Source organism: Homo sapiens, chromosome 8, assembly GCF_000001405.40.
Source record: "Homo sapiens chromosome 8, GRCh38.p14 Primary Assembly".
Classification (NCBI taxonomy): domain Eukaryota; kingdom Metazoa; phylum Chordata; class Mammalia; order Primates; family Hominidae; genus Homo; species Homo sapiens.
The window spans coordinates 115,560,563-115,580,177 of NC_000008.11; the positions used below are offsets into that span (position 1 = coordinate 115,560,563).

General features: G+C 34.2%; 1 protein-coding gene across 4 annotated transcripts in view, besides 1 other annotated feature; it reads right to left on the reverse strand.

Annotated features, from left to right (window-relative positions):
• Window positions 1–19,615, reverse strand: part of TRPS1 (transcriptional repressor GATA binding 1) — a 260,480-nt gene that overhangs the window by 152,067 nt on the left and 88,798 nt on the right. The gene's annotated exons all lie outside the window — the stretch shown is intronic.
• Window positions 4,315–4,871: an enhancer, noted in NCBI's record as "NANOG hESC enhancer chr8:116577104-116577660 (GRCh37/hg19 assembly coordinates)". NCBI's record gives its function as "activates a minimal SCP1, AML or CMV promoter by ChIP-STARR-seq in primed H9 embryonic stem cells {active_cell/tissue: H9 hESC(primed)}" and the evidence as "EXISTENCE:reporter gene assay evidence [ECO:0000049][PMID:30033119]".

Consider the following 19,615-nt stretch of genomic DNA (forward strand, 5'->3'; position numbering starts at 1 on the left):
AGAAACTTTTAACTTAAGAAATTGTGAGTAAAATTTGTACATTGGTGTAAACTGCCCCTGCTCCTGAACTTACAAAGTTTACTTTTATCAACTCTGGGTAAAATGCAGGGTCCTTTCAGAAACTGGACTGGATGAATGGCCTGGAGTGATACCCAAGGCACATTTAGATTTTTACAATGCTACCTGGCAGACACCATGGTAGGAAAACAAGTAACGATTTTTCACTCCTCTTTCGACTGCTGAAGTATTAAACACCATCAGTTTAGCATAAAAATCCCTACTGAGTTGGTAACACCAAGTAAAACTTCAGCTTAAAGGCAGAAAGCTTGTTTTAGGAGGTAAACAATAAAAGTCTAACTCTGCTTATTATGATTTTAACGTTAACATTCTCCTACCTCATTACCTCTAACACATTTACTGGAACTCAAAGTACGAAAACCACAGCTTTATTTTTATAAAGACAAAAGGAACATTAACATTAATCATGGACTGGTGCAACGATTACTTTGTCCTAACAGAACGCTTTCTATGTGAATGTTTCAAAATATTTTATAAACAAAACCTCTGTGGTACAAAGTAAGAGAAGTGTGAATATTACACCAATTTTTGAAATGCTTATTCCTTGCATTTGACATTTACAAATCTTCACCTATATTCTGGGCATCTGTGTGCATGGCTTATCTTCCCTGACAGGCTGAAAACACCGTGAAGGCAAGGCGTGCATCTTGGCATTTGTATGTGCAGTCTGGGGTCTCTGGCACACACAAGGCAGCCATGAGCTACTTCTACAAGGCTGTGAAATTCAATTTTAGGAAGCTGATCTGAACACAGGACAAGCCACATTCTTCAACACTAGCTGAATCAGATGAAAGGTGATATTTTGTTCTCTCAACTTCCTTAATCTTGTGTTTTTTTTTTTCTCTTAATTAGTTTGGAACTCCAGTAGCAACAAGGGGTGCAATTTGGGGGCATGTAGAAACAACAACAACACAATACCTAACACTATTAAGTAATGGAAATAGAATTTTACCCTCGGTAACCTTTACAGTAGGATAAATTGAACGAAACCTGCTACAGGAGGAACGATAACCTGAGTAAAGTCTAAAGATCCATCTATACTCAGTGTGCATCGTCAAGCTACTGGCTCCAGTCATGCACAGCTACGAATGCATGCAAGAAAAATGCAAGAAAAAGTACCCAACCTGTTCTGACCACCATTAATACTACCATCAAGCATGTACTGGAATACTCCAAAAACTTACAACCCCATCTAAAAAAAAAAGAACACAATTGCTAGTAAAAACAAAAACCTAGGAATTACCAATATGAACTGAGCTTGCAGAGGGAAGGGAAGCCAAGCACCTTAATCATGTGCAGATCATGATCGACAAATCCAAAAATATTTTTCAAAACTTAATGATGAACGAAGAATTACGTTTTCCCAGTACGTGTATAAATGCCCCTTGAGTAATAAGCAGTTATAATACATCAAGACGATAGCAGTAAGAACAAAACAAATATAACAATAAAAAGCTCCATGAAAGGAGGTATGAGAAGGTAAATTTTTGTAGGCAAGTATAATTTCACCCTCTTAACAAACATTGTAATTTTAAAAAATAGACCAATGATATTAAAAATAAAAATCCTAATTCTGTAGAGCCATTTAAACGTACTTATATCAAAGAGGAAGACCATTCCCTTTATTTTGAAGCTTTCAATAGTCTCTTTACTCTGATTGTTCCAATGGATAAAGAAAATGGTTATTCACTTTCATCAATTTTCCTAACTTTTTTCAATATTTTAAAGAAGTTGTTTATTTAAAAAAACCACATTTTTAAGTTTTAGTACTTAATTCAAATCTGTAATTGGAATTATCAAGAATTGTTCCCTCTTCTCTTTTCCAAAATAATCCAAAACTCAAAACAGTTGGTCAGTGTGATTGCCAGGAAAAAAAAAAAAAAAGCTTAAACAATACTGAACTGCAGTTTATATAAGGGGAAAAAATGTTGTTGAATTTTAGTAACATGATTTGTTTTAAAACAATTTTAAGACTAACTGAATATAGACTAGTCAGGCTGAACAAAATTTTGAATTTTTTTTCAAGTTTCCAAGTTCAAGACACTGCGCTGATAAGATGTTCTTTTTCTATTACCAAACAATATAGTGTACTTACTTAAACAAAAGGAGAAAAAAAGGAGCATATATATCAAAGGAGAGATCAAAGGAGAGATGGCACATAACTTTTCTACCTTCTAAGATAATGTGGATATAAACCATGAAAGAACGCATGCCTACTCCCCCTACCCACAGTGTCTGTGTGTGTGTGTGTGTGTGTGTGTGTGTGTGTGTGTGTGTGTGTGTGTGGTGTTCCTCTCTCTCCATTAGTTTATTAGATTGGCTAGGATTTACATTAAAGGTTGCTGATCACCTAAGGCAAATAGCATGATCGAGTAGATTAAATGCAAAGCAACCAGCCTCAACAAGCACCACACAACATGTGGATTATGTGAATGAAACACTTGTCTTCTGTACTGACACACTCTACCCACTAGCAATGACTGTATAATTTCTAAAAAAGAAAAAACGTCCCACCCAACAAACATGCATCACTAAAAAGAACTGCAAGTCCTTTTAAGGTAGACAGTAAGGCTTTCGGAAGTGGCGGGTGAGGGTGTTCTTAGGAAGATTTTTTTCTTCTACTTTTCTGTTGTCTGCATTTTCTTATTCACCACTTAGGGCACAGGCAACTTGACACTAGTTTCTGTAACCAACCTGGTCCAGCAGGATTTCTCACACACCCTGCACAAAAGGCTAACCCCTTACAAAATACTTATTTCAGATTTACGTCAAGGTTCAATGAATTGCAGCCAGGAAACTGAGCTCCAAACCTAATATAAAAGTCTCCTCTGCTAATCACTAAACCGATGGTTAGCCAGAAGGTGGGGAAATTAAAACTTTATACTGTTTCATTTCCTCTCATGCAAATGTAAAAAGAGAAACACTATCTTAGAGAAATTTATTTTTCTTCATTAATTTATATGGAAAATCTATGACTTCAAAGTGACCACACAAGTTTACTTTAACAATGTAAATCTTCCATGGGAGCCAACCACGTGATCTTTAACTTGTATTCACAGGCCCTCCTAAAGTCTTTACTGTACTCACTTTAAGTTCCCAAGCTGTCATAATGCTTAAACTCCAGCTGAGGTATTAGGTGTTATGATAACTCATGCAATGATAATGGGTACTGCTAGAGTATACACCTTCTAAGGGAAATCAATGCAGTCTTGGGTTTATTTAACATTGCCAGAGGTAAAACAGACTCAGGAACCAGTGAATCAGTTACCAAGAAATCTCCTGATTCTGCCACCGTTGGAAAAAAAGAAAAGTGCACTTTCCTATTCTTTCATGTTCCCCTTTATGCCCCACAGAATTCTCACGAGAATCAGAGGTATCCTAAACATTGTTCAGTTCTTGCAGTGAACAGTGCTCAAATCTCACTCCAATTACCTCCAGTTATGAACTGAGCCTGCCAACACCGCAGAAAGAGTCAGTGGCCAGGAATTTATGTCAAATTACACGTTACACAATGATGAATAGGAGAGAAAAATAGCAGCGATTAAATACAATACTATGGGGTACATTATTAGATTTGCAATAAAGATACAACTATGCTTTCTTGACTCAATTGTACACATTGGAAAAGATGTGCCGTAGCTTTCACAGGGTATTTTTTAACCCTATATTAAGTGCCTTTAATACTTAATTTTATTTTTTATGCTGTGGCCCTCTAGCTATACCTGTTTTTGTTTTTCAAGTAAATTGTACCATAGATCACTGGTAGGGGAAACAAAAGCAAAAGCAAAACAAAACAAAAACAATAGATCCTGATGACACAGGTCTATTTATACAAACGATTGAAGCAAAAATCAATTGTAACTGTATCAGTTTATGCAGGGAGAAATGACAATTCTATGTCATGTGACTAGACAATATGGTGACAGATGGGTTTGGAAAGCTTCAAAATAATTGGTGTACGTTTAAACAGCTCATAGTGCCCATTACACATACCGTATGGGCCGCCAATTATTTCTTTCCAGTTTCTGTTGCCAAAATGCTGAATTCAACCAACCCCCTCACAATATTGGTACCCCAAGATTTCTGTCCACTCCTGTAGCAGACTTGGATGAGGGGAGCATGTTTATCTACAGCAAGTAGTCAAAATACAGGAGTTGCTTACATAGTTGTGTTCTTTTCAGGAATAATACTTTTCTGGCCACCATCCACACTCATGGTATACTTGTGAACACATTAACTCCACTGAATGTTACATTCATAGGTTTATAAATAATGGTACATACACTTGAAAAGACTGTCATTAAAAAGCCAAACACGTTTTTCTTCATACCCTACACTATATATATAGGGGCTTCGAATAAACATGTAGGTTTCCAGGAGAGAGTTGAGTAGATGGAGAATACTTAGAGGAAAATAATACATAACATGTTACTGCCCCGTGGGAATAGAGACCTTAGGCCTTTATTCTGATTTCTGATGTGACAACTCTTAGGTGTGAAACAAAGACTCCTGCTGACAAGCAGAAAGCAGTTAAATGACACATAACGATGTGGACTGTTTGCTGAAAGTAGTGCTGACAGCTACAGGTGTTTTTCTTTTTTAAGTTTAGAAGGCCCTCGGAAGTGGTTCTACAACCCTGTCTTTTAGCAGGCTACCCTGCAAGGAGATTCAAAATTATTTCCAAAACCCCAACTGTGTATCCCATTGGTAAAGTCTGACAGCATACATCCCTCTCAAAAGAGGTGGAGGAACATCTGAATGGTTCATATTGCCGAGAAGACATGAATTAGATAAATGTAATATTAGTGGTCTCTTTGTATTTAATTGCATTGGAAAAAATGACAGGTTTTTTTTTTTGTTTTCTTTATTACTAAACATACTGGAGTTCATTGTTTTGATTTTATTTTCCATTTGATAAGCGTGTGCTTTCATACATACATTAGTGAGTTCGCCAAAGTACTACAAAGTAACCACATTTTAAACAGAAAAAAAAAGAAAAAAATTCCACCCAATTTTCTCAGCTTCTTTAATTTGGTGGAAAACGTAAAGTTGTCTCTCCAAGGTAAACTAGCTGAGAAAGTGATTCTAAGAGTAAAAGCAATAAAATTTAACCATAGCTTTACTAGCTGTGCTCACAAATGAGGTAACTCAACAATGCCAACTAAAATAAATATTTACTGCAGTAAAAATAACAGCACCAAGAAGAAGCATCATGCTACATAATTCTGATTACACCAAAGGCAATATTTCTTATCACACCAAATTAAAAGGACGAAAGACATTTACTTGAAACTTCAAGGTAAGGGAATTTTTAAGTTCTCATATGAACAACACTGTTTACCTAATCTTGTACCATATTTTCATGTAAGTTATCCTCATACCATGGCATAGATTTTAGCAAATTCGTGGCCATATCCTATTTTAAAGAAAACTGTACATATTGAATTACCATAACATCTTTGATACTAATGTGCATGGGCAAAAGTTAAGTATGAGAGAAAGAAAGAATATCTACATGTAGTCTGTTCATTTAAGTCTTAGCAGGTGGTCAGAATGTTGCATGTATCATAAAATTCTGGACAACCCCCCAGTCTACAAGATGGCCTTGATAGAAGAGCCTAAAGTCACTAAACAGATTGCCAAAAGGCAAGTGGTCAGAATTGTGGACAGAAGCTACCCTACAGTTCCTTCAAGCCTGCAGCAACAAGAAGAATACACACCTGTTGCTCAAGGCCAGTTGGCAAAATAGAAAATGGAAGTGATGCAGATCTAGAACCTTGCTAGTGAGCTCCAGGTTATGTGGCACTAAGGGAGGGGCAGTGCCAATGGCATGGCTTAGGGAAGCAATGATTTCTGAGTTTTGCTGTTGTTTTTGCATTTTTTTCTTTCTTCTTTTTTTTTGTAGCCAGCTGGTATTCCTAAGGTCAGAAAAACATATGGAAAATGGCAATATTCCAGAAATCAGAAAACAGAAAAAAAAACAGAATTTGATTAATTTTGTCACTCATTCTTCAAACCACGGACAATGACTCTTCACTAAGTAATGGCAACTTCAACCTCTATCTGTAAAAATTTAAGACAGCTACAAAAGTTCTAATAAATTGGGATAATCACACATTTTCATTTTGCCTCGAAGTTTAGTGAGATGATATGTTTTCAAGAGATCTGTAATTAAAAATGGTTTAGTGCCTATAATTTCATCAAACCATTCTGTGAAAGGAAAGAGATAAGATGGAAAAATGAAGAGAAAAATTGATGCAAGAAACTAAGGCAATAATACTGCTTCAAAACCTGATAGGATAAATGTAATAATCATTCTAATACCATATATGTTTGTAGCATTTATGTCTCTGCTTTTTATCCTAAATAAACCCACGCATCTTTCTCATTTGAGAAAATTTACATTGCTTTCCCTGGAATATTTCTTGCCAACTATGGCAGTTTACACCATAGAGAGGAAAGTCTGGTTAACACCAAGTTTTAGGCCTCAGGTATATCCAAGATATACTTGTTCCAGATACAGAGAGACAGATGAATAAAAAGATTCACCACATGTTGAAATAATTGGTCTCAAAAATGCCATCAAGGGAATAATAAATCAACATGGACAGAAAAACTCAGTACATCAATTCCTAGTTACAGACATATTTTTTCCACATGTTGATTCTTCATTTCTACCTTCATTTCCATCGTAATCTAATGAAATTCTAAATGGACACAATTACTTCTCAGGTCATTCACTGTTATTAGAAAGGGGGGTGGGGAAATCTGGCATTACCTGTCCACATTTTCAGGTGCACTGTCCTTGACACAGCAATTCCACTTCCAGGAATTTGGCAAAGAAGGATCTTTGCCAAATTGATACCTCTCTATACCAATACCAAATCTTCCTAAATATTCAGATATGGATTCAAGACAAAGGCAAGAAACAGAATTTGGAATGAGCACTTTTGCAGTGACTTAAAATTTCTAAATAGCTTGATAACATAAAATATTCCAAATATCTAAAGCAAGGATCCTTGTCAAGAAGGTGCCACCCATCAGGTCACACCAACACCATCTGGGCAGAGAAGGGGAGCCCATGCCAGGCACCTCTATCAATGTGGACTTCTCATGTGCTCCTTGGTCCATTTCTGTCCCTAACGTGCAATCCACTATGTTAATATAATTCCCTGTGCCTCCTGCAGCTCTTTCAGGGCGTCTGTGTAGTAGAGTCTAAATCCTCTTTCAGCATTCATGATATATCAGGGATTAGAGTATTGAATACAGTGATCTTCTAGTTGTAAGAGGCTATGGTTTCAACACCTCTCATACTGAGAGTTTTAAACCAGTTGTGTTATTTTGGGGCAACTTACTTAACTTTTCTATACCTTAGTGCCATCAATAAAATTGAGTTGACAATGCCCAGCATCATAATGTTATTTGGAGGATTAACTGAGATGATGACTGTGACTGACAGTGACTGTCCTAATTCCTGACCCATTACTGTACTTCTTCCCAGAAGGCAGATACCATGTATTATTGTACTCCCCCAGCAAAAACCAAATGCCAGACACATTTTATATAAGAATGAACAATTAATCTGAATAATAAAAATAAGGCTTATTTATAAAGGTTAAGTTGAATAGTATATACATGCACATATATGCAAATATATATAATTCAGATATTTTATCTTTCTTAATGCTTACATGACTCTAAACTCTCACAATTTTAAATTAAAACATAAATATGACATAATTGTAAATTTTTCAGCTTTATACATCAGCATTTTACCATCATGAGAAAAGATATTCTTTTTCTTCTTTCTAATTTCCCCAAAGTTAAATTTTTAAAACATAGTTTACTATAAAAAATTATCAACAAATTAGCACTGAATAAATTGTTCTTTATTTCTAGTTAATTTATTTGAAAAGTTGATATTTTATGCTCTAGTTTCTGGCATGAGATATAAAACGTGCCACTGCTCTAAAAAATATATCAGAAAATTTTTTTCCACAAATGGCTTTTTTAGGAAAAAAAATTATAATTAACAGGATCAAAATTTCACATAGTTCCACATCTCTAAACTTATATAGAAATTTAATGATTACATAACTTCAACCATATCAGCAAATACACTTCTTTTACTAGCATGCATCAATATCCTCCCAATTAAAATACTCTGTAAGACTGCCTACAGTATTTCAGATCAAAATAGCTTTTACTGAAATAGACTTTCCTGCCTCTCTGATTTAGCATCTCACTTTCTCTTATTGGCAGATGGTTAGCCAAGTTCTATTTAAATCCATATGTCTTCCATAGGCATCATACAAATACTGAATTAAAAGATGAACAAATGTTTTAAAGCTAATCAGATTAGCCTTTAAGTGAAAAAAGTAACAAAGTGGAGTTTCATTTCCTGCAAATGACTTTTACTACATCACGGTTAGATGACTGAAGGAGTTACATCCCCGTAAACTACCCAGACAAAAATAACTCACTGTATGAGACAAGATTACAGAAAAAGACTTTCCTGACTTTGATTATTTTTTTCATGAATCCTTCCTCTCTGCATGAATTCCAATCCTGGCAGGCAATAAATCTGGTACCAGAGTGATAGTATAGTGTAGGCATGGTTCACCATCAAGACTAAGAAGAACAGAAGAGCAGAATACTTCACCAGCTTTATTTCCATACAGCTATACCCTCTCTCCCTCCTTTACTTCCACTAATTTGCTAAAGGGTCAAATAAACACACAAGAATTCCCACTTGAGGAAAAGAGCTCCATGCCTTTATAGATTTCAGTTTCATAAATATAACCTGTACTTTTATTCATCTCTTCTAGGCAAAGAGATTAAGATGATGAGGTTGAGTTTGTAGTACAAACATCATATGCATTCCTGAGTTCACAAAAGCTTTCAAGTTCTCGTATCCAGGTTTGTCTCTAGTTAAGTCATGCTGCAGACTTAAGGAATAATAATCTACTAGTATCTTTCTCTTCTTCTTATCACACTTTCTGGGCTATATGCCTTTGCTTCTCTGACTTGGCCATAAAATGATATAGATAAATGGTCCCATTACACATTTCTGGTTATCTTGAGCCCAGTATCTAATATTCTAAAATATCTCCCTTCTTTAGAAGGAAGCAGTATATTGGTATGGTAAATCATTCTTCACATTTTTGTTTCAACACTTGCCAGCACTGTGTTCTATATAAACTAATAATATAGCTGTGTAGAAAGAAGACTGATTAAGTTCAACCAAAATTGAACCTAGAGTCAATTTTATTAAAAAAAGAAGGTATATAAAAAATAAATTTTGGAGTCATGATTTAACAAATAGACTTTTTAGGTTTGAACTGAAACTTTTAAAACCTAGAAATGCACTGGCAGATTGTGTCTCTAGATTCCTGTGTCACAAAATTCTATAAAGAAATCTCTGTTTCACCAGATAACTCAGAAAAAAGGGATATATATAGATATATATGTAGATATAGATACATGCCAAGTGTTAAAATGTTCCATTAAAGCTCAAATCCTTTTTATTGTTATACGAACCCTAAATTGCTGTAATTGATTTTTTCCAGAGTAAGTAACTCACTAGATAATCTTATACCCTAAAGGTTATTGGAAATAATGCACAAAGTAATAATTTACTAATTCATCAGTCCTAAAAGAGTATACAAATAATAATCAATTTATAATTATAATCTTAATGGTAGAAAATTTACACAGGCGGTACGGCAGTCTCATACAGCAAATAAAATATGGTTTTCCAAATTTTAAAAAATGCATATTTCCTCATATAATTCTATTCCATTAAAGATATATTGATTTTAGACCTCCTAAAAGATTAGCAGTATAACAGGGCCAACAAGAAACAAAAATATAAAAATGCACAGCCCTCAGGAGCTCTCAGTCTGCTAAAGGAGGAAAATTTGCAAATGGATAAATTAAAAGAACTAGTATTTGCAGTATCTCTCATATCTTTGTTCTACTGTGTCCCATACTTGTCTAAAAGCTCCTTGCTTTTAGTGGAAAAACCTCAAAAAAAACACACACACACTCACACACACACACACACACACACACACACACTCACACTTCAATGAACTTCAATTTCAAGCCCAGGGAGTATCACAGAAACCCCAACATTGCCATGAAATTGATACCTTAAAATCATAAGAACTGGAAACTACATGCATGCCAACTCAATCCCATGTAAACCAAAACCACCATGTTTGAAACTCAGCATGTCTGTTCATTAAAAATAGAATAACCAAGACTTCTGACCGAACCAGAATACTGTGCAGTCAGTGTTGCCAGCCATAAGAAAGGTCAGACTAGCTTGGGCTGGTCCACTGGATCAATCGTCTGGACTGGGCCTGTAAGCCCAAGTGTAAACTCCAACTGTATTGTTACCTATTTCCAAGACTTTCACCCACTATATAGTTAGGTTAGCTATTATGACACAAGTGCAGATTGATTATGATTAGAGTTCATAGTCCTTCAAGTTTGGAAATAACTACTTAAAAGCAATCTAGATATAAAACTTAAAAGGTTTGTTTAAAATAATGGAAAATTGGTATACTCAGGGTAGTTCCTTTACTTTTAAAATGATTATAATACATCTTCAGACAATTTTCAAAAGAACTACCATAAATTCTGTGATCATCACACAACGAAGTGTGGCTGATTTTTTAAAAGACATTTTAATTTGTACTTATTATAACAAAACTTTTAATAAGCATATTTTTTTCTTAACATTAAATGGGTAAATAGGCTAGTAAAAAGTCATAAATAGGCCTATCTCTCAGATCCAAATTGTTTACAAGAACTGAAAGCCTTAAAGCTTGGAAGATTTTAATCAAGACTTCCATTAACCCCCTACCAATATCCCAGGGATCGTAGGAATTTTAAACAAAAGGGAAAGCAGAATGCTTTTAAAATGACTTAATGTGATACAGTATTAAGATATGTAACAGTGTTAGCGATTAAACAACAGGTGATATATCACAGGCAAGCATTTCTCTTTTTTCCTCAATTATAAAATAAGACATTAAACAAGACTTGAAAATAAGCCACTGGGTTAAATCTAAGAGAAATGATTAGCGAATAAATCAGAACACCAATACATAAAACTAAAATTTGATAGTTCTTATATATAATGAATCTATCCAACAGGCATAGTAAATACGGCATTCATTTTTAAATGGGTATTCAAGAATCTTTTCATGTATATTTTTTTCTTTGATAATATGTATATACGACCCTAAGTAGTAGGGCTATTTTTTATTTATATCTGAATAAACGCTATTTACATATATACACACCCTACATATATATTTATATATTTAAAAGAAGATAAACGTTTTGAAGTTATTTACATAATTAAACAATTAAATTTTTATTTTAGACTTTGATTTAAATACCCACCTTCTGTTCTAAAACGTACTCTTCTTTTAGTTTAGCTGGTTACAATAAGATACTTAAAGCATGCATGTCTTTGTGGTGTTTCTGAATCCTATCAATTACGAAAAGACTTTGACATACCCAGAGGATCTTAAAATTTGATCTCACAAATGTCAAAATAGTAACTTTCACTGCAGAGGGGGCCTCACTCATTTTTTTTAACATAGATTTTTAGTTGGAGTGAAAAGTTCAACTTCTGCTTAGATTCTCTGTAGGCTAGTGTACTATGTTTCTTAAGCTTTCCAAATACCACTTTTCAAGAACCAACTGATAAGCAACCTCTTCTGGAACACTGTCTTGATAGATTAATTGAGAAGGGGTCATTTCCTTTTTTAAATTTCTACAACATTTTGCTATTTTTTTTTTGTTATTGTTGTTGTTTTTTCTCACTCTGTGGTACCTGACACTCTTTTTTTCTTGTGCTGTAATCGGTTTATTGAACATTATTTTTGCTACTGGTTTGCAAAAGTCTTAAAGAATCAGTGTCTATAGCTTAGTCATGGTAATGCTGCTCCTATAATATTCTGAACAAACTAGGCTTTCAGTTTATATTCAATTATTAAATGAATGTTAGTTAATTTGGAAGTCATTCCAACTCCTCTATTCCCTATGACAGCCTACGTTTCCAGCTATCCATTAGATATTTTCATCTGAATGCCTTACAAACTTGGTAAGTACAAAACCAGCTTCATTATTTTACCCTCACAGAACAGCTGACTCTAGAATTCTGCTAATGATACACTGAAAATAAATATACGCCAGACTCCGTGGCTCACGCCTGTAATCCCAGCACTTTGGGAGGCCGAGGTGGGTGGATCACCTGAGGTCAGGAGTTCGAGACCAGCCTAACCAACAATGGAGAAACCCCGTCTCTACTAAAAATACAAAATTAGCCAGGCGTGGTGGCGCATCCCAGCTACTCGGGAGGCTGAGGCAGGAGAGTCGCTTGAACCCAGGAGGTGGAGGTTGTGGTAAGCTGAGATCATGCCATTGTGCTCCAGCCTGGGCAACAAGAGCGAAACTCCATCTCAAAAGAAAAAAAAAAAAGAATAAATATAGTAAAGCGTGTGAACTTTGAAGCCAGGCTACTTGGACATGATCCAGTTTGATCCAGCCATTCACTAGCTGGGTGACTTTTGACAAGTGACATAACATCTCTGAGGCTCTACTTCCTCTCTGTAAAATGGAGAAAATACAGCATCTATATAAAGGGGTTATAATGAGGATTAAGTAAGTTACTACAAACAAAGAGTAAAGCCTTGCCCATAGTTAGTCTTTATCAAAGATTAGCTATTATTTGTCTCCTTTCAGTCATCAAAACTCAAAGCCTCTTTTTTGTCACCCGCACATATAAACTTTGCTAACTCTTGAAGACTGTCTGCTCAGCATAGCTACAGAAATCACTTCCCAACATCATTATCCTAGTGTAGGCTCCCTGTTATTACTCATAGAGTAAGAGATCAGCCTACTAATGAGTCTTCGTCACCTCAACCCCGTCCACCTCCTTTCCATGTCAACCTATGTAAGATGGTCATATTAACCCTATTAAAGGTTTCATCAAATTATCCTTTGCCCAAATCCTGGAATGGTTCCCTATTTCCTTCTGAGATAAAGTTTTTCAAATAAACATTTTAGAAAATTATCCTAACCTTTATGTCAAGTCTTAGCTCCCCATACTATACTATACCTAACTTTTCATCAAGCTTTTCTCTTTCCTATATCCTGAAAATGCCCCTTGTAATCTTACATTGTTTCTTCTATATTGGCTTACCCTTCATGCTGTCATATTCACCTGCTAAAAGTCCAGTCTTCCTTTCCGAAACAAGCTCAGAAAACCTTTTGGGACAACTAAGTCGGTTTTCTCAACACAATGTGATCTGTTCCTCTTTAAACAATCATAATCATTCTCGTCTCCCTTCACCTCTTTTATGGAAGTCTGATTGTATTTTAGCTGTCACCATACCTGTCTTATCACCTACAGCTAACTGTATATAACTTGAGTACAGAAATCTTGATATACTCATTTTCATACCCTTTATAAGTTCTTCCACAGTTCCTGCCTGAAACCCAGCAGGTGCTAAATTAATATTTATCGGACAACAAGAAACTTTAGAGACCAGTATATCAGGAATTAACTCCACAAAGTTATCCTCTGCTTTTTCTATTTCTATTTCTTTCAAGTTTGAGTACAGGTTAGTTTGGTCTAGTGAATATCTGTTCTTTGAAAATAAATCCTGAATCCATATGAATACCAATATATTTAAATTCGGACACTCACCAACACGCATTCCAATCCCACAAACAGAAGTGTGTCTTGTTAAAATTTCATGAACTACCAAATATAATGAATCTCTAGTGTTATGAAAGGACTTTGCCTAGAGAAGTCTAATGCTTGGAGAAGCAACTGAAAAGAGACAGGACATAGAATAGTTTTGTACTCTTTGCTTTAACACCTGATTTTCATTCTTATCTTACAATAAACTGTACAAATAGCTGTAAGCAAATGAAAGAAAATTTAAATATTTCAAAATTCAGTTTGTGCACCAAACACTTCACTGAGTAGTTACTGGCATCAACTTCATGTGCTCACCAAAACACATTAAGAAATTTGACATATTAAGAAATGTTTTGAAGGCAGTTAAATCCCATATATATATATAACTTTATAAGTGCATTGTCCTATGAAATATTCTCTGAATGTCCAAGTGACTGAGAAATCTTTCAATTATGAAAGTAAAATCAATACCTGGCTGATTCTTTGCTGCTGCTCAAGAAATGCACCTTATTCAAATAATCATATTCACTTTTTCCACTATAATAATGTTTAAAAAACTTCAGGGTTTCTATTTCTTAGCTATCACTGCAAGGCAATTCAAAATAATGGAAGCCAAGAAATAATACTGTTTTCCTGTTTCTCAGGAGTCTATATACATGATCTGGTAAAGTGACCTATGCTTGCCAATAAACTCTACTACTGTGTGGTCCCATAGAGGAGCCTGACTGTTGGGACGCCAATTCTCAAAATTTAAAATCGCAAGCAAGTTGCAATTATTCAGCTATAAACATACTAAAAGTGGCACTATTGATAATAGCAAAAAATAGAAATAAATGTCCAACAATAAGAAATCGATAGACAGTTTTTCTAGGACAACTAGTACAACATATAGTGAAATACTATGAAGTCAATAAATATGATGTAGCAGAATATACGCTGCTATAAAACAGCGTGTAATTTATTAGAAAGTGAAATTAAAAGTTATTTAATAATAAACATACAAATCTATGTTTGCAGGTGCATGTCTATGTGTGTGAGTGAGCATGTCTGAGTGTGCATGTGCCTGTGTGTCTGTGTCCAGAAGTAAATACATTAAAAACGTTGAAAACTTATTTTCTTCTTTTTGCTTGTTTATATTTTCTAAAATGTCTATAATGAACATATATCTTGATAGGAAAGATAATGCCAAGAAATCCTAATTTAACACCCTTTTCTCTTTTCCTGGACTTTTCCCAATTTGTTTCTCCACTTAATCCCTAGCCTCACCCTAGAGGCCACCTCCTCTCCTGAAACCCACAGGAGCTAAGTAGAAATTTGGTCACTTTCATCATGATCACCCATACTTCAAATAATTCATATATGAGTAATGACATATGATCTCTGAAGGAACATAAAGAACAAAGATAGGTTTATAGTTTTAAGATTTCAGTGGGATGAAACTGAATTATTCACATCCATTAAACAGAGTTTGAATGATTCACAGCCAATTTTATTTTTATAATTGTAATGAAACAGCTGGGATTAGAGTCTATTCATGGACTCATAAGAAATTTGCACCCCACCTACTAAAATTAGTTTCTGCATCCAAAATTCTGATTTGAACATCTGACTGTGAACAAAACAGGCATCATCGCTCAATGCCAAGAAACTGAGGAAGGAGACTTTAAGCATGTCACTTTCTCATAGAATTATTTTCTCATTGTGCTTACTTTCCTTTAACTTCATTCATCAGCAGCCCCTTGACATGATTCTTTTGCAGCAAAGTTGTTTCCAAAGAATGGGCTTTCTTGTACAAGATAAGTTCAAATAATACAATTTTTGAAGCTTTCAGACTGTATGTGTGACAGTTGCTTATAACTTATGGATTCTCAGCCACTGGTTGGAAATCATATTTAAGAATTTGTAGTTCATATATATATATAGATATAGATATAGATATAGATATAGATCTAGATCTTTGGACATCAGCATCATTACGTCCAAAATATAAGATTTTGTCTTAAAGTTGCCTCGGGTATCAATTCATAGATCTGAATGTTTAAGGTTTTAAAGGAAATTTACTTGACTCTAGATTTGCTTGACTCTGCAATTGTAAAGAGATTTGAGAAACTGCATACTTCAAACTATAATCTTCCAAAGCAGGAAACAGTATATGAGGCTTGAGTGACTCACCCAGGGTCACACGGCTAGTTAGTCACAAAGTGAATCTAGAACACAAAGTCTCCTTTCCTCCAATCCAGAGCACTTTCCACTACATCACAAGGGAAGAGCAAAAAGAAAAAATAACATCTAATTTTACCAGAAAATAAAATACAGGCAGGCCTGAACCACAGCCAGAGTTAAATGTGGAGCATACCTACCTCCAAACCCAGCTGGAACCTCAAAGGTTAGTATATATTTTAGACTCTTCAAAAATATTTTAATCACATGTGAATTTGAGGAAAGCTCTGATTTTAAAAACTCAAAAACACTCAGTAGTCACACAGCATAAAGTTATGACAGTATTAGCTGGATAATAAATTTGTAGACCACAAACTGTCCATCCAGACAATTTACACTTTAAAAACATCCAACCTTCTTAGAATTAGTTTGTAAGTCAGGCAAAGAGGACAGATTTTTCTATATTACCAGGGAACTTTCAGGTAGGCAATTTCTGACACTAAGATTTAGATAAGCCAAATATGTGCATCTCCTAAAATATAGCCAGTATTGCCTTCAATTATACCATGATTTTGCAAACAAATATACTTCTAAAATGTTAACAAGTAAAGTTTTTTTCCACTGTTCAATGTACAAAAGAGGATGTCTCAAAAGTCCCACTCTGAGTCTTTTTTTAAAAAAATAGCAAATAATTATTTTTAAGTAAAGTGAATGTCTCTTTCAAATGCAGTGTTTGTACATTTTTAGATTCCATATAGAAGAGTGGCTTAACTTGTTTGTCTTAAACATTCATAAATAACATCATACATCTTTTTATAAATGTATGGTTAAGAGTGGCCTGAGAATCTGTATTTTTAGCATATAGGTAGCACAAATGCAATGTTAATTCAGAAAGTATTCTTGCCCCTGCTTCTTCAAATTTTCATAAAAAATAATAAAAATATTCTATAGTTAGCAATAATATATTGCATATTTCAAAATGGCTAGAACAGAGGACTTAAAATGTTACCAGCACATTGAAATTCTGATAAATACTCAAGGTAATGGATACCCCAAAAACCCTGACTTGACCATTATTTATTCTATGTTTGCAGAAAATTCCCACGTATACCTCACCAATGTATGAAATATTATGCATCAATAACAGAAAAAAAGCATATTCTGACATTCTGACAACTTTATCAAAGAAAAATACTTAACGGAATCAATGTGCATTTAATATATTTCAGCAAAAAAATAAAAACAAAGATAATTAAATGCCATCTTTTAAAGAAAAGAGAAATCAATTCTTTTCTCTTGTACTCCCTCAAAGCCCATGCCATTACCCACACATGCGACATACATCGGGGGAAGGCGAAAACTTCAAAACTGGTTTGACAAAGCGTGAAGGGTAGCAGGAGCATCATCCATGGAGGCAAAGCAAAAGCAGAGAAAAGAGAGAAATTATTCGCCCGAGAAAGGCAAAGCCTGAGTAGACTGCTTTTAATTAAAACCCTTGACTCAACTCTGCTTAAGAAAATGAGTTCTTCTTACAAATCAATTTCTCTAAAGAATAAACTATACTGCATATGCAATATAAAGTAAGCTTATTATACTATTTACCTTGTATCGGACATGTACTGTATTCCATATATGTGATAAAATTGCCACTTGCTTTTCTCCTAATTTTTTGAATCTATCATTAAATATGTCAATTTACAATTTAGAAGTTAATCCTTAAATATTTCTAGGATATTTTTCCCACGCATTTTTTATAAGCCAAATTATTTTATACCTTAAAAATTACCCCTTTAGATAGCAGTGACTTGGACGTTAAATACCATTTGTTATAAACCATGTACTTTCTCATTTAAATAACTGGAAATATACTACATGAAATTATCCCAAAAAGATGATAAAGCAATAGAATAATATGTACAAGGAAGTCCTTCAAAATGTCCTTTATAATTAAAAATTGGAAGTAGCCTAATTGTTCATTAATAAGGAATGTCTTAAACATACTAGGATGTCACTATTCCATGGTATAATGAGGCACAAAAATGAACATTGTGGGATGTATTTGTTGATGAGAAAAGATGTCCACAATACACTGAAAAATTAAAAAAGAAAATTATAAAACAGGGAGGTACATGATCCTATACTTGAATAAAATATATATTTAAATATACATAAAGGATACATTAGATGCCAAAATATGAACACGAAAGTATTTACAGGTTGGAATTTATGAGTGGTTTTCATCTTCTTTACAGTATATTGTATTATCCAACTCTTTCGCAATAAGCATGTATCACTTATGTAATTTCAAAAAGGTATTTTGTTTTGTACATACACACATAAAAACGTGTATGCTTAGATGAAACAAATTAATTCTGAAACTGTAGAAAGTCACCCAAGTATTTATTAGCAAACCATATTGAACCAAAAGAGGCTATGCAATGGTTATGAGCAGGGACTCTAGAATTGCCAGAGCTAGAATTTAATGTCTGCCATTATAAGCAGTGTGATCTAGGCAAAATACTTAATATCCAAGCCTCAGTTTACTCATTTAAATGATGGGGATAATAATAGTTTCAACCTCAAAGAGTTCTGGTGAGGATGAAAGGAATCCATCCAGTAATAAATTAATGGAAAGGTAGTAAGCTTAATCCTAGAAACTGAATGCTAAATTGACAACCAGTTATAAATATCCGTCTATTTTAACCAAATATTTTTTGTAATGCTTTCCTATACAATTGTTTTAAAGTAGTTTCACCAGATTTTCTTTTCTTCATTAAGAATTCAAATTTAACACCTACAAACAGGTATTCTTGTGTTACCCAATGTATATAGCTACAATCAGAAAGTTAATTCCCTGAGATTCTATGTGCTTTGTCTACCAAGACTTTTTTTATGATCAAGCATCAGTCTTGTATAAAAATTTAAACTAAATGTAACACTACAGGCAAATGCAATTCAATAAATCATGTTGTCAGGGATCTTATCACTTCCTTCACACAAAATATCATTTTAACCAGAAATCTATTTTAAAAATCTTTTCCATTTTGTACCTAAATTCTCATAAAAGTTTGATTCATAATCAGTACCTTTTTTAATGGTAGCAAAAATTATAAAGTGTATTTTGCCTTTAAAAATAGATATCTATAGTGTATATACTTAGCATTTTCTGGTTATTCATGATGTTACACATATATAAATTTCCATGGTAGAAAATGGTTTATCCTTTTCCTAATTAATATGTCCAAAGTAATTCTTCAAAATTAAGAAACTGCCTTGTTTAAAAGAGGCAAGTTAACATATAAAATTACAAGTGAGAGGGAGGCATTTAATCATTCTGAGATGAACAATGATGCCAAACGCTCAATTTATCACAAGTGTGCTGTCATCAGAAAAAAACAAAACTAAGATTCCTTTGCTTCACTCCTAACCACTGATATAAAGCTGTGTTCCAGACTTCCTTGTATTTGTAAATTATAGTTCATAATAAAAGTCTATAAGTAGTATTGCTTCTCCAAAAGGAAAAAGGGTCTTCAAACATCAATGAAACAATTTGCCTTTCCTTAAACTGATAACACAACTAGATACAGCAGTACCTAGCTTGCCAAGCTTCCTTGAGTTAACAAGCAGAGCAGTCTACTAATCAATGCC